This window comes from Homo sapiens, chromosome 19, assembly GCF_000001405.40.
Source record: "Homo sapiens chromosome 19, GRCh38.p14 Primary Assembly".
Lineage (NCBI taxonomy): Eukaryota > Metazoa > Chordata > Mammalia > Primates > Hominidae > Homo > Homo sapiens.
Genome location: NC_000019.10, coordinates 16380315 through 16405002, shown reverse-complemented (window position 1 = coordinate 16405002; position 24688 = coordinate 16380315). Strand labels below are relative to the sequence as shown.

General features: G+C 48.9%; 1 protein-coding gene across 13 annotated transcripts in view, besides 2 other annotated features; it reads left to right on the top strand.

Moving 5' to 3' along the window:
• The window catches only part of EPS15L1 (epidermal growth factor receptor pathway substrate 15 like 1), a 116766-nt gene that overhangs the window by 67010 nt on the left and 25068 nt on the right, over window positions 1-24688 (top strand). For 11 of the 13 annotated variants that reach the window (NR_047665.2, NR_047666.1, XM_017027089.3 and 8 more), the window contains 8 exons: window positions 254-415; window positions 1073-1270; window positions 2518-2682; window positions 9536-9659; window positions 11002-11052; window positions 12563-12699; window positions 18772-18832; window positions 19792-19874. Coding sequence is in view for 11 of the 13 variants with exons in the window: in XM_017027089.3 (XP_016882578.1) it covers window positions 254-415; window positions 1073-1270; window positions 2518-2682; window positions 9536-9659; window positions 11002-11052; window positions 12563-12699; window positions 18772-18832; window positions 19792-19874 (981 nt within the window). In the remaining 2 variants the exon portion in view is untranslated. Of the gene's footprint in view, window positions 1-253; window positions 416-1072; window positions 1271-2517; window positions 4415-9535; window positions 9660-11001; window positions 11053-12562; window positions 12700-18771; window positions 18833-19791; window positions 19875-20727; window positions 22015-24688 lie in introns of those variants that run through there. The other 2 variants (NM_001438228.1, NM_001258376.2) reach the window with 2 other exon arrangements.
• Window positions 21234-21735: an enhancer, noted in NCBI's record as "H3K4me1 hESC enhancer chr19:16494079-16494580 (GRCh37/hg19 assembly coordinates)". NCBI's record gives its function as "activates a minimal SCP1, AML or CMV promoter by ChIP-STARR-seq in naive H9 embryonic stem cells {active_cell/tissue: H9 hESC(naive)}" and the evidence as "EXISTENCE:reporter gene assay evidence [ECO:0000049][PMID:30033119]".
• Window positions 21988-22077: an enhancer, noted in NCBI's record as "active region_14229". NCBI's record gives its function as "activates an Ori minimal core promoter by ATAC-STARR-seq in GM12878 lymphoblastoid cells {active_cell/tissue: GM12878}" and the evidence as "EXISTENCE:reporter gene assay evidence [ECO:0000049][PMID:35858748]".

Here is a 24688-nt window from a genome sequence, read left to right as displayed (position 1 = left end):
CTTCTCTCGCACCTGGCCTCTGTTAGGCCATCGGGAAATACCTGCTGAGGGAGCTGGTGAGACAGTGGCCCTGGGCCTCCAGCCCAAGAGGCACACATTGGCCGTGGGTGTGCACGGAATGCTGGCCCTGAGCACGGTCACAGTGGGTGGTTTCGGAGGCTTCCCCTGGACTTCTGGCCCAGGCTGCCCCCCGTTATCTTGGACATGCTTCATTTTTCCCATCCTCACGTAAACCCCTGCAACTCCTCCCTAGGAATTACAAAATGACCTAGACCGGGAAACAAGCAGTTTGCAGGAGCTCGAGGCTCAGAAACAGGATGCTCAAGACCGCCTGGACGAGATGGACCAGCAGAAGGCCAAGCTCCGAGACATGCTGAGCGACGTCCGGCAGAAGTGCCAGGATGAGACTCAGATGGTGGGTCCCGGCCACCTCCGGGGCAGCGCCCTATGCACAGGCAGGGGCTTCCCAAGGACTCCCCTGAGCTCGTGTTACCTGGGAACACAACACTTAGACATCCTACTGGGTCAATAGAGTTCCTCCAAACACCACGTGGAAAAGTGTCCAAGCACCTGTGGCTTGACTTCCTGGCCACCCCCCTGTACTCCTAGAAGTCAGGTTGTATAAGTGAATGGCCTTGGTCCCTGCGAACTTGTGCCCTGAACACACCCCACCTGGCTGTGCCCCACAACACAGGGAGTTCCAGGGTGCCTGTGTCCCCTCCTCAGGTGTCTCTGAGGCTCCTCACAGATCCCGGAGGCTGCAACCTCAGAAAACTCTATGACGTTCAGCCTCTGGGGGGATGGACAGATTGTTCGTGCTTGGTCATGCCCCTCATTATTCCAAAGTGATCTTCCGTTAGCCACAGTGGGATGAGCCCATCTGCCTTTTCATTTGTGTCTCTATTTTGGGTGTAGAAAGAGGCCTGTAAGGAAGCCAGGTGTCGGGCCTGGGTTAGGTGTCTGCGTCCCTGGCTTAGCTTGTTTCGGGGATGGGGGCTAAGAGTTCTTTCTCGGAGTCCCATTTCATCCTGCACTGTGAATCTCTTTAACATCTTTTAACATCTCATTTCAGATCTCATCACTGAAAACGCAAATCCAATCTCAGGAATCTGACTTAAAGTCCCAGGAAGACGATCTGAACCGAGCCAAGTCGGAGCTGAACCGATTGCAGCAGGAGGAAACCCAGCTGGAGCAGAGCATTCAGGCTGGGCGAGTCCAGCTGGAAACCATCATCAAGTCCCTGAAGTCAACGCAAGACGAAATCAACCAGGTACTTCACGGAGTCGGGTCCCTGCCACATGCCAGGGACCAGCGAGCCCCAAGAGCCGAGGCTGCCACTGCTGAACTCCTTTGCTCTCACCCTTGTTACTTACGTGAGGGTCTCTTTTGGGAGGCTGTGGTGCTGGCCTGGAGGCGCAGGGCCAAGGACTCCCCAGGGCATGTTCCAGAGTTTGTTGGCATTGGCCTGGAGGAGTTCACTTTCCTTTCCTGAGCACACAGCATCTTCAAGGAGTAGGCGGGGTGGGGTGGGAACACTTAATTAATGGCTCATTTGGAGAGAACTTGGGGTTCTTTCCAGCCTGGTCCTCACACAAACAAGAGGGACAAAGTCAGAGAGATGACTTCTTTGTCCTTGGGCAAGAGAACAGACGTCATCCTCCACAGCCACTGGTGTGTTCAGGAGGCGCCACCCTGGAGCATCACGCCATGCAGGACCCCCATTCTCTAAGCTGCCTGGGACGCCCCCACCCTCTTCCCAGTCCAGGGGGGGGCGCTGGCTTCTCGTGGCCTGCAGCCGTTGCCCTTCCCTGCTCTCCTGTGGGCAGTAGATGAAGGCCTCTGTCCTGGCCCTGGGCATCCAGTCTACACAGTGGTTGTGACACTGGCCCTCGCCTGTGTCGGAGTGGCCAGGCACACTTCTTTTACCAATTGAACTGGTCTCTGTCTGTGCTCCATTAGCCAGTTTATAGGCCACAGTTGATCGCAAGCATGGACCGCTCAGAGATTTACCACCCTTTCTTGTGCTTTATGGTTAATATCTGTAGGATTACTTTCAGTGTTTTCTCTTCTAACCCTTAGAGTTTGTAGTTGGGTGTCAGGAGCAAAGATATGTTGCTTTGCGCAGTGCAGTGCCTTACACCTGTCATCCCAGCACTTTAGGAGGCTGAGGCAAGAGGATCACTTGAGGCCAGGAGTTCAAGACCAGACTGGACAACATAGCGAGACCCCATCTCTACAAAAAATACAGAATTTTTTTTGTATTTTTTGCAGAGATGGGTCTTGGTTTGTTGCCCAAAAATATAGGTGGTGACACGCACCTGTAGTCCCAGCTACTCAGGAGGCTGAGGCAGGAGGAGCTCCTGAGGTCAGGAGCTCAAGGCTACAGTGAGCTATGATCACTCCACTACATTCCAGTCTGGGTGACAGAGTGAGACCCTGTGTTTTAAAAAAAAAAAGCGTCTTTTCTGACATGTTTTCCTGACCCTGCTTAATGCTGATGATGTCTTTGTTGCACAGGCAAGGAGCAAACTTTCCCAGCTGCATGAAAGCCGCCAGGAGGCCCACAGGAGCCTGGAGCAGTATGACCAGGTGCTCGATGGAGCCCATGGTGCCAGCCTGACCGACCTGGCCAACCTGAGCGAAGGCGTCTCCCTGGCAGAGAGGGGCAGTTTTGGAGCCATGGTAAAGGTTGAATAAACGTATTACAGTATGGGGCTCTGGTCCCCTGGTGTGACAGCAGAACATCCCACCCGCCAGATCTGTTCATGGCCAACGTTGGTTCCAGCCAAGTGCAGGCGGCTGTCTGTTGTTTTTGCTGCCACTTTGCGCGTTCACACCAGGCCTTGCAGCCTGGCACAGGTGGCCATGCTGAATCCTGGCTTCCAGAACAAAGTCCAAGATAGGCCTGGATCCTTTCAGAACCTGTTTTGAATGCCCTCCATCTCTGCGGAAGTATTTACATTGGGCCAACCACCCAAGTTCAGAGGGCTTCTCAAACTTAACCAAAATTGGATCAGTTTCTGCTCATTGTGGAAACCCCACATTCTACTAATCAGGGGGCAGGGGACATCTGAGGGGCATGTGTCTATGTGTATGTGTGTTTCCACAAGGAACACCTTGAAAAGCAAATGTGTTGCTAAAGATGAGGAAGTAATGGCAAGCAGCGCCCCAGGGTGTTGCTCTTTCAAGTAAGAATTGGCCTCTCCTGAAATTTTGGTTATGTTTAAAAACCTCTGCACTTTACTCTGACCTCATGACCCTGGAGTTGTGATCAGGCCTGGGGCAGGGGACTGTCGGCCCCTTACATTTTTGAGAGCTCTTGAGCCCCTGATACCAAGACAGGTGTGACCTTTTCCTTAGGTGGTCACATCCCCCCTGTTCACACCAGAGTCTGCCCCTGCAGCCTCGAACCTGGGGACATGTAGTTTCCCATTTCGTCTTGGTGCTGTTCCGGGAGCGGATGGGCCGGGCCGCGCATGTCTGGATGTTTCCTTGGTGCTCTGCTGCCTCCAGCAGCTCTCTCCGTGCTGCCACCCTCTCTCCCAGGGCTCCTCCCTGGAGCCCTTCTGCTCCTGGGCCTCTGTACGTCATGGATTCCTCTTCCTCCCTGGAATAAGAGTGAGCGCTCGTGCTCTCTAAACACCACACTTGCCTCTTTATGTTCAATGCTTGATGTGTTTCTTTTCTCAGCAGCCAAGTCCTCAGTCCCAAGGATTTATGGGGAAGCACACGCGTCCCCTGGGCTGCTGGGAAGGCACTGCTGGCGAGCTCATCTGTCTCTTGTGTCTGGCCCCCGCTGGGTGCACCGCCTCCCTCTTTCCTCCCATACTCTCTTTTCTCGTGGACTCGTAATGAGGTGGTTTCCATAGCCGCCCCCGGGCCCGTCATCATCAGCTTTATCGTCTAAATTTAAACGATGAGCATTCATCCTTCATGAGTTACGAGAAGCCAGAACTCCTCGCTTTGCTCCCTGGCTGTTCTTGGCGTGTGTGTTTCCGTCTCACAACCCGGCTCCTACTTTCCCCATCTGGCATTGTCCCCTGGCACCGCTTTTGGCTTGTCCTGCTCAGTCTTCGTTCAGGGAACAGCTTCCTCTTAAATGTCCCTTTTGCAGGTTTTTAGAAACCGGTTTTCTTGGATAAAAGTTGGCAGTGAAGTGGCAGTTTGCAAGTGGCCAGTGATTCCCCCAACTCCAAAGACAGATTTTTACCTTTCTGGTTATTTTTGTTCATCTTTTGGGCAGGGCAAAGGTTACCTGAGACACAATTACTTTGGGAATGTAGATTAAGATACGTTACATGGAAACTTGCAACTGGCATCCGAAAGAAAAACTGTTTTTATCCTGTTGTACAAATACAGTTTTTAAAGCATTTTTCTGGCTTGTTTCTATTTCTTAATAAATACTTGGAAGAGAGATTTTTGTTTACTCCTGAACACTTCAAGACTGCTTCAGAGCCGAGAGAGAGGTGTCTTAGTTCTCCCTTGTGGGTCGAAGTTGGGGGTTTTAGGTCCCTGAGAATAGTGTATCCACAGTGGTACATCTGGAACTTCCTATGTTTGGACAGTTCTACTCAGGTTACTAAATTCCATGTGAAGCTCACGCAGTGTGACTTTATCTCAAAAGTCAGGGGTTTTTTTTTTTTTTTGTTTTTGTTTTTTTTTTTTTGAGACGGAGTCTCGCTCTGTCTCCCAGACTGGAGTGCAGTGGCACAATCTCAGCTCACTGCAACCTCTGCCTCCCGGGTCCAAGTGATTCTCCTGCCTCAGCCTCCCGAGTAGCAGAGATTACAGGCACGTGCCACCATGCCCAGCTAATTTTTGTATTTTTAGTAGAGACGAGGTTTCACAGTGTTGCCCAGGCTGGTCTTGAACTCCTGACCTCAGGCAATCTGCCCGCCTCGACCTCCCCAAATGCTGGGATTACAGGCGTGAGCCACCTCACCCGCCAAAGTCAGGGTTCTTAAAGCCATATTTATTTCTTGTCTATCATCTGATTATGAGAATATTGACCTCTTGCTCACCATCCAATCAACTTATGGAGAGAAGCTAATAAATCATCCCAGACTTAGGCCTTACTGAGGACAGATTAAGAAAGGTTGATTGATCTGTCACATCCAGACCCAGTGGCATGCTGGAGCCAGTTTTTATTGACTTTCCAGAACCGATTATTAAATAGGAACTGGCCGGGCACAATGGCTCACACCTGTAATCCCAGTCCTTTGGGAGGCTGAGGTGGGAGGATTGCTTGAGGCCAGCTGCGTGCCACTGCACTCCAGCCTGGGTGACACAGCGAGACTCAATCTCTAAAAAAAAAAAAAAAACCCCAAAAAGCAAAAAACAGGAACTTGTGAGCTAGTTGCTTGGAAACTTGAAATCAACCATGATGAGACTGTTTACACCACAGGAATTGGCAGAAGCTCTAAACCAGGGCTTTTTTCTGAGAGAACTGATTCCCAGCACACCCCTGCTGCCCAGCACTCCTCTAAAGGGCGGGAATGTCACAGAAGCTTCTTCAGCCCCCTTTCAGAGTTGCCGTGTGTATTTCCTAAGAAGGGTACAACTTCACACTGGTTGCTGAACTTGTTCAAGATATTACATCTCTGCCAAGGGCCGTGTCATTCATCCTGGCCCTTGTCTGCTGTACTCGTGTCCCCCAAGTTGGCAGATGGGTCTGTTCTCCTTAGTAGGTGGTCTGCAAGGGGTAGAGTTGATGGTATCTTTGTAACAGGGAAATCTCGTTTCCCACTCTGATTCTGTGCAATGGAATCAAAACCACTATTAGTTACCCTGACCTCCTGAATCCTGCTGGGGTCTCAGGCTTCCCCTTGGAAGGGGAAGGAGTGATTGTGGCTTCAGGCCAATGACTCCTGAGAAAGTGATTGCAGGCCTGACTGTCAGTGCAGGGGGCTTGCAGCCAGCATTCCCAGAACCTCAGTCTCTTCTCTGCCATTGTTCACTGTTACTTGGCAGTCTTCCAAGTGACGACTGAAAACACTGAAAAAAAAAAACCTTATAAATAAATGCCAATTAAAAACTAAATAGAGCCAGGCATGGTGGCGAGTGCCTGTAGTCCCAGCTACTTGGGAGGCTGAAGCAGGAGGATCCTTGAGCCCGGGAGTTCTGGGCTGTAGTGTGCTATGCTGATTGGGTGTCTACACTAAGTTAGTCATCAGTATGGTACCTTCTGGGAGCAGGGGACCACCAGTCGCCTAAGGAGAGGTAAACCTGCCCTGGTCAGAAGCGGAGCAGGTCAAAACTCCCACGCTGCTCAGTAGTGGGATTGCACCTGTGAATAGCCATTGCCCTCCAGCCTGGGCAACGTAGTGAGATCCTACCTTTAAAAACAAACTAAATAGAAGCTTTCATTCTGAGGTCAAGCTGGCATTCTTAACTCGCTGCTTTATCCAGGTCATGATTCCTCTCTTTCTTCTGGAACAAATACATTCCTCCTTCCATGGGGCAGTGTGAAAGGCAGATTTTCCACGTGGGCCTCCTGGCTTCTTTAGAGTAGGACTTCTCCATCTTTATCTGCATCCGAGACCCCCATCAGACGCTTGCTGGGCGTGTGTGTCTTGTGGTCGTCAGCACCTGACGTCCACTCAGCACTGTCTCCAGCTGCAGTGCTTGTGGACATCTGTACTTAACTTGTCTAAGAACCCGGCTTGGTTTCCCCACCTTGGGAAAACCCTGTGGTCGGAGGCTCCAGCTATTCTTTCCCAGGTAAGAAAAACCATTCCATGTTCATCAGATGGCAGGGATGTGGGTGCATTCTCCTGAAGTGGGGGCCGAGGAAGCGGCACTCATGCTGATTCACACTCATTCACAGCCCAGACCGGTGGCTTGTCTTAACTCTGTACCTCTCATAACTGTCCTGCACCCCTAAGTTGGCTGCCCCAGGGTGGTGGCAGCCTTGCTAGGAAACTTTCTTTTGGACCTTTGATGTCATTTCCCCACACCATTGTCCCTATTTTTGTGGACGCCCCGGCTTTTTAATGATTTTGTTTTGGTCGGTTGGAATACTGGACTGGTTTGTGAGTCCTACGCAGGAATGCCAGTGTGTCTGCCAAATTCAATGAGGGTGTTGTGCTGTTTTTTTAATATCACAGTGAAACATTCATGTTTTCACTGAGGGTGTGTCTTTATTAACTAAAACAGAGTCCTTATTTAAACCAACTGTATTGTTCCCATGTATATGACAAACCCACCCTTTTCAGACTACTTCCCATTACAAAAATGTGCTCTTCAAAAGTAAATATTTTTTCTTCTCGTTTAAATGAACCTGTTTGTTTCTAGAAATACACACTTTAAAAAAAAAATGCAAAGCATTGTGTATGCTCTAGTAATTCTAACTGCATAAGTACTCATTTCCTCATAGGACAGAAACAACCAGCATGTTTCTTGGTATGAAAACTCCATTTTCCCAAATGCCCACCTAGGTACATACTCACCGAGAAAAGGATGATTGAGGAAGGTCACACCTCTGAAATGAGGCCTGTGCTGCTGTTGTTGAGTGGCTCTTTACAGTTTTCTTCATGGCATTTCCAAGTTTATTATTTTTTTCTGACTCATTGATTAAAAAAAAATTGTTTAACTTTCAGGTAAAATAGACAAACAGCCGGGCGCGGTGGCTCACGCCTGTAATCCCAGCACTTTGGGAGGCCGAGGGGGGTGGATTACTTGAGGTCAGGAGATCAAGACTGGCCTGCCCAACATGGTGAAACCCCATCTCTACTAAAAATACAAAAATTAGCTGGGCATGGTGGTGCACGCCTGTAATCCCAGCTACTCAGGAGGCTGAGGCAGGAGAATCACTTGAACCCGGGAGGTGGAGGTTGCAGTGAGCCGAGATCACGCCACTGCACTCCAGCCTGGATGACAAGAGTGAAACTCTGTCTCAGAAAAAAAAAAAGAAAGAAAGAAAAATAGACATAAACTTGACCATCTTCACTGTCTTTAAGTGTACAGTTCAGTAGTGTTAGGTATATTCACATTGTTGTGGAACCCAGCTCTAGAACGTTTTCATCCCCATGAAATACCCACTCCCCATCCCCCCACCCACAGCCCCTGGCAGCCACTGTTCTACTTCGTCACTGTGAATGTGATGACTCTAGGGTTCTCATAGAAGTGGAATCATACCTTGTGTGTTGTTTTGTGACTGTGATTTCACTCAGCAGCCTCTCCTCAAGGTTCTTCCATGTTGGAGCATGTGTCAGAATTTGCTTCCTTTTGAAGGCTGAATCAGATTCTGTTGTGTGGCTCGTTACAATTTTCTTGATGACATTTCAAATTCATTATTTTTTTCTGACTTAGAAAAAAATTTTGTTTTTCCGTTTATCCATTCATTCATCGATGGACATTTGAGTTGCTTCCACTCAATGATTTTTTAATGAACTTTTATTTTAGAATAGTTTTTAGATTTATGAAAAAATTGCAAAGATAGGCCAGGTGCGGTAGCTCATGCCTATAATCCCAGTACGTTGGGAGGCTGAGGTGGGAGGATCAGTTGAGCTCAGGAGTTCAAAACCAGCCCTGGCAACATAGTGAGAGACTTCATTTCTACAAAAAATATAAAAATTAGCCAGGCTTGGTGGTGCGCGCCTATAGTCCTGGCTACTCGGGAGACCGACGTGGGAGGATCACTTGAGCCCAGATGGTCAAGGCTGGAGTAACCCATGAGTGTGCAACTGCACTCCAACCTGGACAACAGAGTGAGACCCTGTTTCAGAAAAAGAAAAACTGCAAAGATAGTGCATAGTTCCTCTATATCCCACACCCAGTTCCTCCTGTTAGTCACATCATATATAGTACATTTGTCACAACTAATGAACCAGTATTAAACATTATTATTCACTCAAGTTCATACTTCTTCAATGATCTTTAATTAATTTTTTTTTTTAAAGATACAGGGTCTTGCACTGTTGTGGCTGGAGTGCAGTGGCACAATCATAGCTCACTGTAACCTCCACCTCCTGGGTTCAGGCAATCTCCTGAGTCAACCTCCCAAGTAGCTGGGATTATAGGTACACGCCACCACACCTTGATTTTTTTTTTTTTTTTTTTGAGATAGACTCACTCTATCGCCCAGGCTGGAGCGCAATGGCGTAATCTCAGCTCACTGCAACCTCCACCTCCTGGGTTCAAGCAGTTCTCCTGCCTCAGCCTCCCAAGTAGCTGGGATTACAGGTGCCCGGCACAACACCCAGCTAATTTTTTGTATTTTTAGTAGAGACAGGTTTTCACCATGTTGGCCAGGCTGGTCTTGAACTCCTGACCTCAGGTGATCCACCTGCTTTGGCCTCCCAAAGTGCTGGGATTACAGGCGTGAGCCACCATGCCTGGCCTCATTTTTAAATTTTTGTTTTTATAGAGATGGGATTTTGCTATGTTGCCCAGGCCAGCCTCGAACTCCTGGCTAAATCATTCTTTTTAGGGTCATGCTACTCAAAGTGGAAATGTGAGTTAAGTATGGAATTCCGTACTTTGCTTTAACTCAGAAATAATAAAATCCCTGTCCTGTTTCTTCACAAAATTGTAGGATGATCCTTTCAAAAATAAAGCCTTGTTATTTAGCAACAACACGCAAGAGTTGCATCCGGATCCTTTCCAGACAGAAGACCCCTTCAAATCTGACCCATTTAAAGGAGCTGACCCCTTCAAAGGTATCTCACTTGCTACCCACTTTCTCATTGAAAGACTGTGTGTTTTATGTCGAATTTAGAGTGGTTCTTCAACTAGAAAAGTAAGGACATGCCACAATCTGAAATGGAGGGGGAAAGGAATGCCTTTTTTTTTTTTTTTTTTGGAGACGAACTCTCGCTCTCTTGCTGTCAGCCAGGCTGGAATGCAGTGGCGCAATCTCGGCTCACTGCAACCTCCGCCTCCTGGGTTCAAGCAATTCTCCTGCCTCAGCGCCCATCACCGCACCCGGCTAATTTTTGTATATTTAGTAGAGTTGGGGTTTCACTGTGTTGCCCAGTCTGGTCTCGAACTCTTGACCTCAGGTAATCCACCCGCCTCAGCCCCACAAAGTGCTGGGATTACAGGTGTGAGGCACCGCACCCAGCAGGAACGCCTTTTAAGCTTCTTATCTCACCCTGTTAACCAGAGAGCCAAGGCATCAAGATACAGTGGGAAGTGTTCCAAGCTCACCACAAGACCCACATTTGAAGGCAGCTTGGCCAGCCCCCTTGAACCCTTCAGTACTTCAGTTTCCTAATCCCTCAGCAGGTTAATAAATTTCCTCCTTGCTCACCTCACAGGGTTGATAAAATAATCAGAGCTAGTAATGATCATGAAAGTACCTGGAAAACCATGGATTCCTACATAAACCTAAGGTCTGGATAATTTTAGGAGTCTGTCCAGAGCCACACCTGAGTCAAGAATAACTAAGAATTCCAGAAACAAGATTTCCAAGTTTCTGTCCATGTTTCAGAGCAAAACAGTATTTCCAGGAGGAAGGCTCTCTACATTTTTGAGAAAAACACTGAGGTGGGGAGAGGGCAGCGGGAGCTTGAGCTTCAGCTTGGGTTTGAAGCCTGCCGGGTCTGAGAGGCGAATCTGGCAGCCCCTGAAGCCCAGGGGTGCCGCCGCCTCATTGCTGCAGGGCCGGTGATAAAGTGAGGGACAGCCCAGGGTCCTGTGTCCTCTTACCCAGGGAGCTGGCAGGCAGATGGGATAAAGGAAACCCAGCATGGGAAGAGAGGAGTGAATTCTAGCCCACTCTGTGTCTTCCCCAACTCCAGTCTGTGTGGGACAGCCAGCAGTACCTTCCTTCTCATCTTAAACATCCTAGCCAGAAACAGCTGCCTCCTCCAGGTCCCCCTCTTTGATTTGCCAAGGTTTTGAGGGCAGGTGGATAGTAGAGAAGGAACTAACATTCTCTCCCTACACTGGAGGAGTAGAAGGCAATGAAAGGCTTGGGAGGTGGGTGGCTGTGTCCAAGGGCCCGGCCCGCATCCTGTGCCCTAGAGCTAATAAGCATTTCTCTCCTCTTCCAACCAGGCGACCCGTTCCAGAATGACCCCTTTGCAGAACAGCAGACAACTTCAACAGGTAAAATTCAGTGTTTCCCGGACCGGTCTTTAGACTGTGTCCAGTCCTGGCTCAGAAGTCGCATGTGGTGGGACTTGTGTCCACATACACCGGGGATGGCAGCCATGTAACTGGGAAGGACGGCCGTCCATCCATGTTGTACCCATTCTCGGTCCCGTTCCCTTCTGGAGGTGGCTCCCCTCCCCAGGTCCAGTCACTGCCCGCACCCCACCCTGGAGTGTGGTGGGATCACATTGCTTGCTAATTTATTTATTTATTTTATTTATTTATTTATTTATTTATTTTTTATTTTTTTTTTTTTTGAGACGGAGTCTCGCTCTGTCGCCCAGGCTGGAGTGCAGTGGCGCGATCTCGGCTCACTGCAAGCTCCGCCTCCCGGGTTCACGCCATTCTCCTGCCTCAGCCTCCCAAGTAGCTGGGACTACAGGCGCCCGCTACCACGCCCGGCTAATTTTTTGTATTTTTAGTAGAGACGGGGTTTCACCGTGTTAGCCAGGCTCGTCTCACACTCTTGACCTCAGGTGATCTGCCCACCTTGGTCTCCCAAAGTGCTGGGATGACAGGCGTGAGCCACCATGCCCGACCGATTTATTTTTTTTCAGGTGAAATTTATGTAACATAAAAGTCACTGTTTTAAAGCATCCAATTCAGTGGTATTGAGCACACTCACAGTGTTGTGCAATGATCACCTTCATCTAGTTCCACAACATTCTCATCCCCCCAAAAGGAGACCCCATCCCAATCAGCAGTCACTCCCCATTCCCTCCCGCAACCCCTGGCACCCACCAACCTATTTTCTGTCTCTATGGATTTACCTGCGTTGTTTATTATTATTATTATTATTATTATTATTATTATTATTATTATTATTATATCCAGCTCCTGCAGGATATTTTATTTATTTATTTAGAGATGGGGTTTTACTCTATTGCCTAGGCTGGAGTGCAGTGGCGCAATTATAGCTCACTGCAGCCTTGACCTCCTGGGCTCAAGCAGCCTTTCTGCCTCAGCCTCCTTAGTAGCTGATACTACAGGCGTGTGCCACCACACCTGGCTAATTTTTTATTTTATTTTTCTCTGTGTTGCCCATGCTGGTCTTGAACTCCTGGCCTCAAGTGATCCTCCTATCTCAGCCTCCTAAAGTGATGGGATTACAGGCATGAGCCATTGTGCCTGGCCAGGATATTATTATTTTTAAAGTCAATTTTATTGAGTGGCATAATTTACACAGAACAAAATTCACCCATTTTACTATGTAATAAGATGAGTTTCATTAAATATGCACGGTTGTGTGCAATTTGAGAACACTTCTGTCATTCCTGAGGCCCCTTTGTTGTCACCCTCCACCCTCTCCTCAGGGTCCCCTGGCCACCATTATCCTGTTTTCCGTCACTAGCGTTCTTACCTTTCTAGAATTTCATGTAAACGGCATCATTCTGTGATGTGTTCTTTTATGTCTGGGTTCTTTCACTTGGTATAATGTTTACTTATGGGGCATTTTTCCTTCTAGATCCATTTGGAGGGGACCCTTTCAAAGAAAGTGACCCATTCCGTGGCTCTGCCACTGACGACTTCTTCAAGAAACAGACAAAGAATGACCCATTTACCTCGGATCCATTCACGAAAAACCCTTCCTTACCTTCGAAGGTGAGTGGGGTGGGACGTTGCCCGGGAGAGCTGCGTGCCTGCTCTGTGTGGTAAGGGTGGCGCTTCCCGAAGGCCCCCTTCCCTTCGTGGAGCGTACATGGTGCCTGCGAGTGTGGGCCATGGTGTCTGTTCTCCGGGAGCTGGTATCCCAGGCTGATTTCATTCCTGCTGAGTGAGGGAGCTCACTGGCCTAGTCACTGCAGTGACATCCTGTGAGCCCCAAGGTGCAGTTAGCAGTCCAGTGGCCCCACATCAGGGCAAGGAGGATGTCACCCATAGTTCTTATTTCTCTATCCCCATTCCTACCCCTCAACTCTAGTCATCTGCCCCCACTGCCCCTTCATCTCCCAAAAAAGACTAAATCACACAAGCACCACATGCTCGCATGGACCCGGCCACCCTGCACGGTCCTTGTAACACACAGCACTGGTGGGGACCTTAGAGTCACGTTTGGTAGGTGCTCCCGTCACGGCAGGAGTAAGTGCAGGCGTCTCAGCCCGGCTGCCTTGCCTGGTGTCTCCTGAGAGCATCAGCCAACTCTGACCCTCCAGTTTCCAACTCCAGCATACCTGTACTCCCATCCCCGGGCGTGGCAGACACCGGGTATTTTGCATATTATGCCCAAGAGATTGGGTTAAATAGGTGTCAACTTGGATTTCAAAACCAAAAAAAAAAAAAAAAGCAGCCTCGGTGATGGAGCAGAGGATGTTCATGATGGAGTGAGCGTGCTTCATAGCCTTCTTCCGTTTTCTAGGCTGCAACCCAGGCCCGGGGCCTGCTCAGAGACGGGCACTCACCCTCCTTCTCAGGGCTCCTGCTACCCTGGCGCCCACCTCGCTCACTCCCTGTGGACCTTTTGGTCTTTAGCGCTTGAAGCTCCTTGAAGGCAAAGACTCATTTGCAGTATTTTCTTATTGGCCCCTTTTTAATGTCCTTAAGACCTGTAGTGAGAATTTCCCTAGCATTCCTGGTATTGGTGATCTGTTTACCAATTTCATTGACCTTTCCCATAACCAGCTTTTGGCTTCATTTTTCTCTACTGCTTGTTTTCTATTTCATTGATTTTCTCTTTTCTATTTCTATTTTTTTCCATTTCCTTACTCCTATTTATTTGGGGTTACTTTGCTCTTCTAACATCTTAAGATCCAAGCTTCATTCATTAATTTTAGACTTCATTTTCTAGTACTGGCGGTCCCTGACTTACGATGGTTCAATTTACAGTTTTTTGACTTTACAATAGTTTTATCGAGATGCAGTCCCATCATAAGTCAAGGAGTGTCTGGACTTAACATTGGTTTGACTTCTGATTTTTTGCTTTGTGATGGGTTTATTGGGATATTACGTACATTTTCAACTTAAAATATTTTCAACTTACAATGGGTTTATCAGGATGTAACCCCATGGTAAGTCAAGGAGCATCTGTATAAATTTAAAGCAACATATTTCCCTTAAGCACTGCTTTACATGTATTTCATATATTTGAATACTTTATCTCTTCATTGCCATTCAGTTTTGAGATATTTTCCAGTTTCCCTTGTGAATTCTGTTCACTTATGGATTACTTAAAAGTATGTTGTTTCATTTCCAGATACTTGGCTTTTTCTCCTAGGTATATTATAATACTATTATTATTGATTTTTAATTAAATTTGTTATTTGAGAACATATTCTGTATGTTTTCAATACCTTCACATTAATCAAGGGTTGTTGTTTGTGGCCTATGTTGGTGAACAAACCATGTACACTTGAGAAGAATGTGTATCTAGTTGTTGGGTGTAATGCTCTACAAATGGCAGTGAGGTTGAGGTTCCTCATAGTGTTCAGATTATCTGTGTCTTGTTTGTTTGTTTTTTAGTCCTACCAGTGTCTGAGAGAGAGGCGTTAAACATTCTCCTATGATTGTGGAATTGTTCATACTGCACTTTAATTTGATCAAGTTTTGCTTTGTGTATTTTGAAGCTTTGTCAGGTGCATAGGTGTTTATGATTGTTGTGTCTTTCTGACACAACAACCTTTTTATCATTATAAAAGATTCCCATTTGATCTCTGGTGATGTTCTTTGTCTTGAAGTCTGTTTAATCACTTCATTCTCCTCATGTTATTCACTACATGATACATCATTTTTCAACCATTTACTTTCAACTTACCTGGATCTTTAAAACTGATAGGTGTCTTTTGTAAGTAGCATAGTGTTGGGGCTTGCTTTTTTTTTTAAAATCCAGTCAGAAGTCCCTGCCTTGTAAGTGTAATGTTTAGTCCATTAACATTTAATGTAATTATTGATATGGTTTAAGTCTACTATTTTATTATTTGCTTGCTTTTTATCCCATGTTTTGTTTCCTGCTTTCTTTTGAATTGTTTGAATGTTTTTTTGAATTCTGTCTATTGGCCTTTTATTATTTTAATCATACCTCTTTTAATGATTGTTTAGAGGTTGCTTTAGGAAATATCATGTACAGCTTTAACTTTTCATAGTCTACTTGAGGTTAGTATTGTATTATCTCATGTAAAATATAGAAAACTTGCAACCATGTAGGTCCATTTGTCCACCCACCCTTGCAGCCAGCATGTCTTATGTTATAGCCGTCATGTGAATTTCATACATCTAAATACATTAGAAACTCCATAAGACTGTTACAATTTTTGTATTAATCCATTGTGGGTATTGTAAAGAAAGAGGAAAAAAGTAGTCATTTAGTTTTACCCAAATATGTACCATTTCTGATACTCTTCATTTGTTACTGAAGATTGGTTTTCCCTCCATTATCATTTTCCTTCAGCCTAAAGAACTTTCTTTAGCACTTCTTATAGCTCAGGTCGACTGTGTTGTCATTTTTTTATTTTTAGTTTTGAAACAGAGTCTCACTCTGTTGCCCAGGCTGAAGTGCAGTGGTGTGATCTTGGCTTACTGCAACCTCAACCTCCTGGGCTCAAGCAGTTCTCCCACCTCATCCTCCCAAGTTGCTGGGACCACAGGCATGTACCTCCACACCCAGCTATTGTTTTATTTTTTGTAGAGATGGGATTTCCATATGTTGGCCAGGCTGGTCTCAAACTCCTAGGCTCAAGCAATCCTCCTGCCTCAGCCCCTCCAAAGTGCTGGGATCACAGGCTTGAGTCACTTCACCCAGCTATTATTCTTTTCTTTTCTTTTTTTTTTTCCAACCTCCGCCTCCCAAGTTCAAGCGATTTCTGGTTAATTTTTGTATTTTTAATGCAGATGGAGTTTCACCATGTTGGCCAGGCTGGTCTTGACCTCCTGAACTGAACTCAAGTGATCTGCCCGCCTCGTCCTCCCAAAGTGATAGAATTACAGGCATGAGCCACTGTGCCAGGCCTGTTGTCATTCTTGAAGGACATTGTGTTTGATGTAGGTTGTTGGGGTTTTGTTTGTTTGTTTAGTGTGTTTTTCCACTGCCTTCCAGCCTCCATTGTCCTTAATGAGAAGAGTTTTTGTTTGTTTGTTTGTTTGTTTTTTTGAGACAGAGTTTGCTCTGTTGCCCAGGCTGGAGTGCAGTGGCGTGATCTCAGCTCACTGCAAGCTCCGCCTCCCGGGTTCACGCCATTCTCCTGCCTCAGCCTCTCGAGTAGTTGGGACTACAGGCGCCCGCCACTATGCCCAGCTAATTTCTTGTATTTTTAGTAGAGACGGGGTTTGACCATGTTAGCCAGGATGGTCTCGATCTTCTGACCTCGTGATCTGCCTGCCTTGGCCTCCCAAAGTGCTGGGATTACAGGCGTGAGCCACCGTGCCCGGTGGAGAGGAGTATTTCTTCAGGTCATTGTTATCCTGTATGTAATAGGTGGTTTTTCTCTGGCTACTTTCAAGATTCTCTCTTTATCTTTGGTTTTCAGTAGTTTTTGAAGTTTCTGGGTGTAGTTTTCTTGGTGTTTATACTGTTTAGGCTTTGCTCAGCTTCTTGAATCTGTAAATTATGCTTTTCAACAAATTTGATAAGTTTTCATTGCCGGTTCAGTGGCTCATTCCTATAATCCCAGGACTTTGGGAGGCTGAGGTGGGCGGATCACTTGAGGCCAGGAGTTCGAGACCAGCCTGGCCAACATGGTGAAACCCCGTCTCTACTAATACAAAAATTAGCCAGGCGTGGTGGTGCACACTTGTAATCCCAGCTACTTGGGAGGCTGAGGCAGGAGAATCGCTTGAACCTGGGAGTCAGAGGTTGCAGTGAGCTGAGATTGCACCACTGCGCTCCAGCCTGGGTGACAGAGTGAGACTCCCATCTCAAAACAACAAAACAAATTTGGTAAGCTTTCAGCTGTCAGTTCTCCTAATTTGTTTTTTCTGCCCAATTTTCTCTCCCCTCTCTTTCTGGGATTCCAGTTACATGGATATGAGACCCTTTGTTATTGTCCCACAGGTTCCTGAGGCTCTATTTATTTATTTATTTTTCATTCTTTTTTCTCCTTTTTCTTCAGATTGAGTAATTTCTACTGCTCTGTTTTCAACTTCACTTACTCTTTCTTTTATTCTTGGTTATTTAGCTAACCTAATGAAGTGGGGTTTTTTTTTGTTTGTTTGAGACAGAGTCTCGCTCTTTCGCCCAGGCTGGAGTGCAGTGGCATGATCTCAGCTCACTGCAACCTCCACCTCCTGGGTTCAAGCCATTCTTCTGCCTTAGCCTCCTGAGTAGCTGGGATTACAGGCATGCACCACCAAGCCTGGCTTATTTATTTTTCAAACGGAGTTTCACTCTTGTTGCCCAGGCTGCAGTGCAATGGCATAATCTCGGCTCACTGCAACCTCTGCCTCCTGGGTTCAAGTGATTCTTCTGCCTCGGCCTCCCAAGTAGCTGGGATTACAGGCATCCACCACCACGCCCATCTAATTTTTTGTATTTTTAGTAGAAATGGGTTTTACCATATTGACCAGGCTGGTCTCAAACTCCTGACCTCAGGTGATCCACTTGCCTTGGCCCCCACAGTGCTGGGATTACAGGCATGAGCTACTGTGCCTTGCCCGCCTGGCCAATTTTTGTATTTTTAGTAGAGACAGGGTTTTGCCATGTTGTCCAGGCTGGTCTTGAACTCCTGATCTTGGGTGATCCACTGACCCCGGTGATGAAGTTTTTATTGTAGATACACTTTTTCAGTTCCGGAACTTTCATTTGTTTCTTTCGTATATTTTCTATTTCTCTTCTAAGGTCACCTGTGTTTTCACTCATTTTAAGTGTATTTTCCTTTTCCTCATTCAGCACAGTTATAATCACCGTTTTACGTTGTCCCTGTCTCAGAGTTCCACCATCTGGGTTATTTTGAGATTGGCTACACTGATTGTCTTTTCCGGTGAGAGGTGGTCACATTTTTCCAGTTCTTTATATGTTTAGAAATGTATCTGATACATGGTGAGCGTTCTGTGTAGAGACTGTAGTCTGTTTTCTCCAAAGAGCAGGAATGGATTTGTTTCAGCAGGCAGTTAACTTGGTGCCACTCACACTGCAGACACTCACCAGCAGATGGCAGAAGCTCCAATCCCAGCTCAGTTCTTGTGGCCTCAGCTACAGGCTGCCTCGAGTCCCCCCAGGCTTGCGTGTGCAGAGGCCAGCCTGAGACTTGGGGGAGAGTGGATCATGAAGTTCAGGGCTTGCATCTTTGCATCTCTGCCCCTCCATCCCGATTCCCCTTCCTTTCCCCTGGGAGTGGTTGTCTCTGGGCTCCATCCTCTGGTGGTCAGATTCTACCAGAATCTTAGGCACCCTCACTGTGCCTTCCTGCTGTAGCTGGCGGAATGGAAACTCAACCTCCTGCTATGTTCTTCTGCCACATTCAAATTCTCCTCCAAAGTCTTCTTCCTGTCTTGTTCACTTCCCAGCCTTCAGGCCACTGCTTTTTGTATTTGTAATTTTGGGGATATTCCGTCCAGGTTGATAGGTGCTATCTGCAGGAGGGTTGATCTGTTGGGATTTTACTCTGCCTGGGTTGAGTTTTAATCATTCCACTTTCCCTCTGGCTCAGCACTGGATGTTGTACATCGACGTCAGGAAGGTCTGGTTGAATGAATGGGTGATGGAACCAACGAACTGCTTTTTACTCTTTCCTCTCTCCTTTCATTTAGCTCGACCCCTTTGAATCCAGTGATCCCTTTTCATCCTCCAGTGTCTCCTCAAAAGGATCAGGTGAGACCCATGACTTATTTTTCTTCCTGACTATTCCTTGGGCAGTAGCAGAGCTCCCCCGCAGTTAACACTTTCACTCCCAAAGCCAGCGTGGCCTCTGTGTTTGTGTCATCAGTCAGTGGCACCCAGATCCTGGCCTGAGCCCATTAGGCCAAAACAAGCACCCGCTGCTGCTCCCCTTCCTGGGCACGCGCTGGCATCTTTCCAGAAAGGAATTTTGGCAGTAGGAATTCAGTAATAGCACCAGTGATATTAACTACTGTTTACTCACTCCTCCTTATAAATCTTTGGTTTGTATCTTTGGGTTTTTTCCCTAAAAGAAATCCAGAATTTGACCCCAGGTACTGGCCTATGTTGTGGGTTCTGTGTTTGAAGGAACCTCATCTCACAGTGTAGAACTCGCAGATGCACGCTCGAGCCTTTATGCAATGGGAGCATCTGTGGACACCCCCTTTCTTTTGGGAACAGGCCCCGCTTGGTCCTGCAGCTTGCGTGGGGCGGGTAGCAGTGTTTGGTATCATAGGCGAGTGTATCCAGTACTCTAGGCAAATCCCTTCCAGGTTAGAGGAGAAAACACAGCAAAAACCTCTATCCAAAGACACCACCCTGTATAAATCATGTGGGTGGCAGGTCGCCCTGGAGTTGCTCCTCGCCTCCTGACCCATTGAGACCCAGTGGGACCCAGGGGCCACGCCTCTGTGGCAACTTGTCACTCTTCTGATGACCGTGAATGATGCTGGCCCTCCCAGAGTGGTCGTCACAGTGAGAAACCGTCTTGCCATGCCAGAGTGGGCAGGGGGGCCTTGCTGAGAGGCCTTCATGCAGACACACGTGTCTAATGAATAAATGCAGCCTTCCTGAGTCTCCTGGTTCAGGGGCCATCTAGCATTTCCCCTCCACCCCAGAAGGCATGTTCTCTTAAAGACCTGTAACTCTGACTTTGTTGGTGCCGATTGCAGATCCCTTTGGAACCTTAGATCCCTTCGGAAGTGGGTCCTTCAATAGTGCTGAAGGCTTTGCCGACTTCAGCCAGATGTCCAAGGTAAAGCCCCTCCACGGAGCCCCCGCGCCTCTGCTAGTGTCTTTGTGCCTCTTGTCATGGTGTGGGCTGCCAGGCGTAATTGTTCATGTCACGTATGTATCTCCCCGGCACCTTTCCAACACAAGGTCAGGTCTGGAAAGCATCCATGGCTGTGATCCAATGCACTGCAGTCCCGTGGGGTGAGCCCTGACCCTTCCCAGTGGCATAGGTGCCCTGGGCTCCCCTGGCTCCCACTGGTGTCTGACGACCATCAGGTCTCAGACGGTGAAGTCATTGCCATGGCCGAGTAGAAACTTGAGAAGGCGTTGGGCACAGGCGTCTCGAGAGGGCCATGGGCAGCAGGCCTGCAGGTGCGAGGCGTCCAGGGAAAGTGGGCCAGCGAGTGTTCAGAGTCGCCCATGTGACAGAACTCTCAAGGGGTGTTGAAAAGTGAGGGCCGGCCTCCTTGAATAAATGCAGACAGATCCACAGGTGAGGAGTGAACTGTTGAAGGAGGACAGCAGCGAGGCTGGTTACCAGACTGGACCCGTTGGTGTCCGGCCCTCACCACACGGTGACCTGAACTCACTGTGGCTCTGGTCCCAGACAGCTGTAGGGCTTCTCCAGACGCTGGCAGTGTGGTTGGAGCTCATCTTTAAGGTAGCATAGAGAATTCAACAGGGAACATCCAGAATGGACAAGTCAAAAAACAACAATAGAAGCCCCTTACGACTGAGGTGCCTTCCGGAAGAAACTGCTGGAAAGTTGGAAATGGGGGCTGTGGTGAGTGGGAAGGACAGGGCTGCGGCACCATTGTGCTTCCTTGTGAGTTGTATGTTTCCCTGTTTGAGTGAGGAGCATTTTTCTTTGGCAGGAATGAAGGAAAGCAGATGAGGTGTGTCCCGTCCCTGACACCTGCGTCCACTCTGTCCCTTCTCGGCAGCCCCCAGGCAGGGGCAGATGGGCTCTGTCTTCGGGGGGCTGCAGGGGCCTGCTTTCCTCACGAGTTCCACCTGCAGAGGCCCAGGCATTATCCACGCTGCGGGAAGAGGCAGTAGCCACAAGCAGAACACAGCCCCCCTCCTGGAGCCCATGGCCCAGGTGGTAAGGGGTGGCCGGTGTGGGGGGTCCCCTGGAGCAGCTGGGCCCAGTCCCTGTGAGCGCTGCTGTCAGCCTGAAGGTGGTGAGGGGAGGGAGCCCCGGGAGTACCTGGAAGACGCGTGCCCCAGGCATGAGGCCCCCTCGGGGCCCCACCGGCCCCATGCCCAGGTGCCCCAGGTGCCAGTGTGACTGGGCAGTCTCCCTTGGCTGCCCCGTGTTCACTCAGCTGGTGGAGCAGATGAGTCTCTGAGCATCTTGGGGTTGGCAGCGGTCGCAACTTGTGATCACAGAACACAGATTCCGAGAAGCACTTGAGATTCTGTTCAGGTTTTCAAAGACGCGTGTGTGCGTGCCCTGGCGGCGCAGCAGATCCCACTTCTGACCGAGGCAGGGTGTGTGTTTACACAGATGAGCCTGGGCAGAGGGAGCCCAGAGGCCCTGGCATGGCGCCCCCCTCCTTCCAGCACACGGAGAAGGCCTCCATCCCTCATATGCCACGCTGTGACACGGTTTGGGACTGGCAGAAGATTTAGGGCCCAGTGCACAGGCTCCTGGGCAGGCGGGAAACCATCTCCCGAAAGCAGAAAACGTTGGCCACACGGTGGCAGCAGTCCCTCAGGCGTCCTGGTCGTTTCTGGTTGTCGCAAGTGGACTCCTCTTCCTTTGGGAGGCTGGATCTGTCTTCCTCCTCTCACTGTGAGCAGAGGGAGGGAGAGCTAGCAGAGCCTGAGCTAGGGCCGGGATCTAATGACCGCCCTCTGCCTGTCCTTGGGCCCTGAAACCAGGGGCTCTTCACACACATGCAGCTGTGATTTCAGAGCCGGTCTCACTTCCTATTGGCGGTGCCGGGCCAGGACAGAGTTGGACAGAGCTGTGGAAAATGGGTCTCCAATACTATCTTGTTTTGATTCCAGCGTTCCATCAGCTGCCTTCATGACACTTGTACAGCCGCATTCTGAGCTCAACCCTGACCTTGCAGCTCTGTTTTTCCTTTTTGGTTACCTATCTGTTTTTCAAGAACAACATTGTGGATATAAATAAAATGCTAAGGGAAATGAAAGTGGCAAGAAGGTGTTTTTTTAAAAAACAAAAAAAAACCATCATCAACTTTTCCCCATCTGAGCAGAGCAGGGAGGCCCTTTTGTAAGTCCCTGAATTGAAGCACCTTACCTCTGCGTGGCTTTGCTGAGGAGAGTCACAGCCCACAGCCTGATTCTAGAAGTTTCCTTTGGGAGGCTCTTCGGGCCTGCACTCTTAGTTGAGGCCCCACCCTCACCTGAAGAGATTTTTCTAGACAGTATCAAGCCTATGTGACATAAGCTCACTTTAAAAACAGATTCCCCAAAGTATGTTTCCAGGGAGCATTTGAGAATAAAAACAAGAGTCCAACTTATTTCACCCTCTTCTGCCCTGAAAAAAAAAAAAAGCCATCTGTGAAATACTGGGTTAGTCGTCAGCCCATTTTTAGCAACTTCTCAATTGTTTAAAGCTGTGCATTGATATTTAGGGCTGCTGTTTACAAATTCAGTCTTCTGTTTTGAACCAGTTCTTCAACTGGTGAACTCAAACGTGTTTCTCTTAGAGCTGGTTTTCATAGTAGCTTTTTCTGTCTTCCTTTTATTTTAAGCACACTTCACTCTTGCCGAGCCCAGAGAGCCCCTGACAGCTTTACTGAAACCTTTCTAAAAATAGAGATTTTCCTTGAAGCCGCTGCCCGAGTAGGAAAGAGTTGAGTCCCCAAGGAGGCTTCTTGGGAAACTTGAAGTCATGAAAATTGGGATTCGGAAATGACGCGGGCATTCTGGAGCTAGGAGTGATCTGATTCACTGCGGAGGCAGTGCCAGGCGTTTATTGAAAGCCTGTCGCCTCGCGAGTTGCCAATTGGCCTCGTGGGTTTAAACACACATGGGAGGCGCCAAGCCGGCTTGGCCCGAGGTGTCCCCGGTCAGCCTGGAGGGTTAGGCGGCTCTGATTTGAGTGTGTCACCAGGTCTTACAACTTTGGACGTCCAGGCTGAGTGTGGTTTTATTGCCCGGGTCCTATTGCGCGACACAGAGGGTAGAAAGGCTCACTGCAGCCACTGGAACCGAGGCCCCACTCCGAGTCTGGAGATGTGGCCCAGAAGCCAGCACATGCCCAGGGAGGACAAGGCCCAGCCGGTCACACCACTTCCCATCTAGACCTGCTTGGCTCCCCATCCCAGGCCGCGGGGGACTCGCACGGGCCCTAGGCCCAGGGACATGTTCCATGAATCGCAGAAGCACCCACAGACGGGCCAGTGTTTTTCCCCCATTCTTTCCCAAACAGCCGACCCTAAACGGCCCATTTTAAAGCTAAGCTGCAGGCCGACACTGCCCCTCATGTCTCGGACAGGCCTGGGGACAACTGGGGCAGCAGATGGGGGCACTCCCAGATTCCAATCGCAGCTTCGTACTTGGTGTGATCATTGTCGTGTGGTCCATGTGCCAACTTTATCTAGTGCCAGTGAGTGGACTGATGCCTGTCACATGGCACCTCATTTCCTTCTTGCCGGAGCCTTCCGAGCTCTGTCACTCTTGCCATTTTACAGATGAAGAAACCAAGGCACAGGGTGTTGAGTAGGTGGCAGGGTTGGGGTTCCAGCCTGGGCAGGACAGTCTGCCCAGGACGAGGCCCTGGACCCACCACTGGGGTGGCCCTCGGCAGCTGAGGGCAGCGTCTGGTGGCCCCAGCCTGGGAGGCAGACGATGTGGCAGCCCTGGATCCGCCGTGGACCTGCTGTGTGATGTGGGCAGGCTGCGCCTCCTTTGTGTGCCTCAGTTTCCTTGTGTGTAAGGCAGAGGTGCTGACAGTGGGACCCCCTGCCAGGTCACTGGGCCTATTATTAGGTGAGAAGATCAGCACAGAGCGAGTGTCTCCTGCCTGGGCAGCTTCAGAGGGCGGCGTGAAGCCCAGGGAAGGGATCTGGTGGGGTCATCTGTGCAGGAGCCTTTGGGGCCCCTTCCCCTCCCTGGGGGCACCTGCCACTGCCCTTATCGGGGGGACCTGGAATGGGTAGGCTGCCTCTTAGAGGGGCCACCTCCCTGTTCTGTCTCTGATGTGGCTCTGACTGGGCCGAGCAACCTCGACTCTAGGACTACACAAGGTCCGAGGCAGCCATATCTCTGTGACGGGACGCAAATAGCCCAGATCGATGCATCTCTGTAACTAGATGCTAGAGGCCTAGATGACTGCATCTCTATAACTAGCTGCCAGAGACACAGGTGGCCACGTCTCTGACTAGACTCCAGAGGCCTAAACGGCCATGTCTGTGCAACTAAATTGTAGAGACCTAGAGAGTCGCATCTGTGTGACTAGATGCCAGAGCCTCAGACGACCGCATCGGTGTGACTGGAAGCTAGAGCCTCAAATAGCTGTGTCAGTGTGACTGGATGTGTCAGTGTGACTGTGTCAGTGTGACTAGAGCCTTAGATGGCTGCGTCTGTGTGACTAGACCCTGGAGCCTTAGATGGCCACGTCGGTGTGACTGGACGCTAGAGCCTTAGATGGCTGCGTGTGTGTGAGTAGACCCTGGAACCTTAGAGGGCCATGTCTGTGTGACTAGACACTAGAGCCTTAGACGGCTGCATTGGTATGAGTAAACGCTAGAAGCCTAGACGGCTGCATCTGCATGACTGGACACTAAAATCTTAGACGGCTGTGTCTGTGTGACTAGACGCTAGAGCCTTAAATGACCACGTCTGTGTGATTAGACG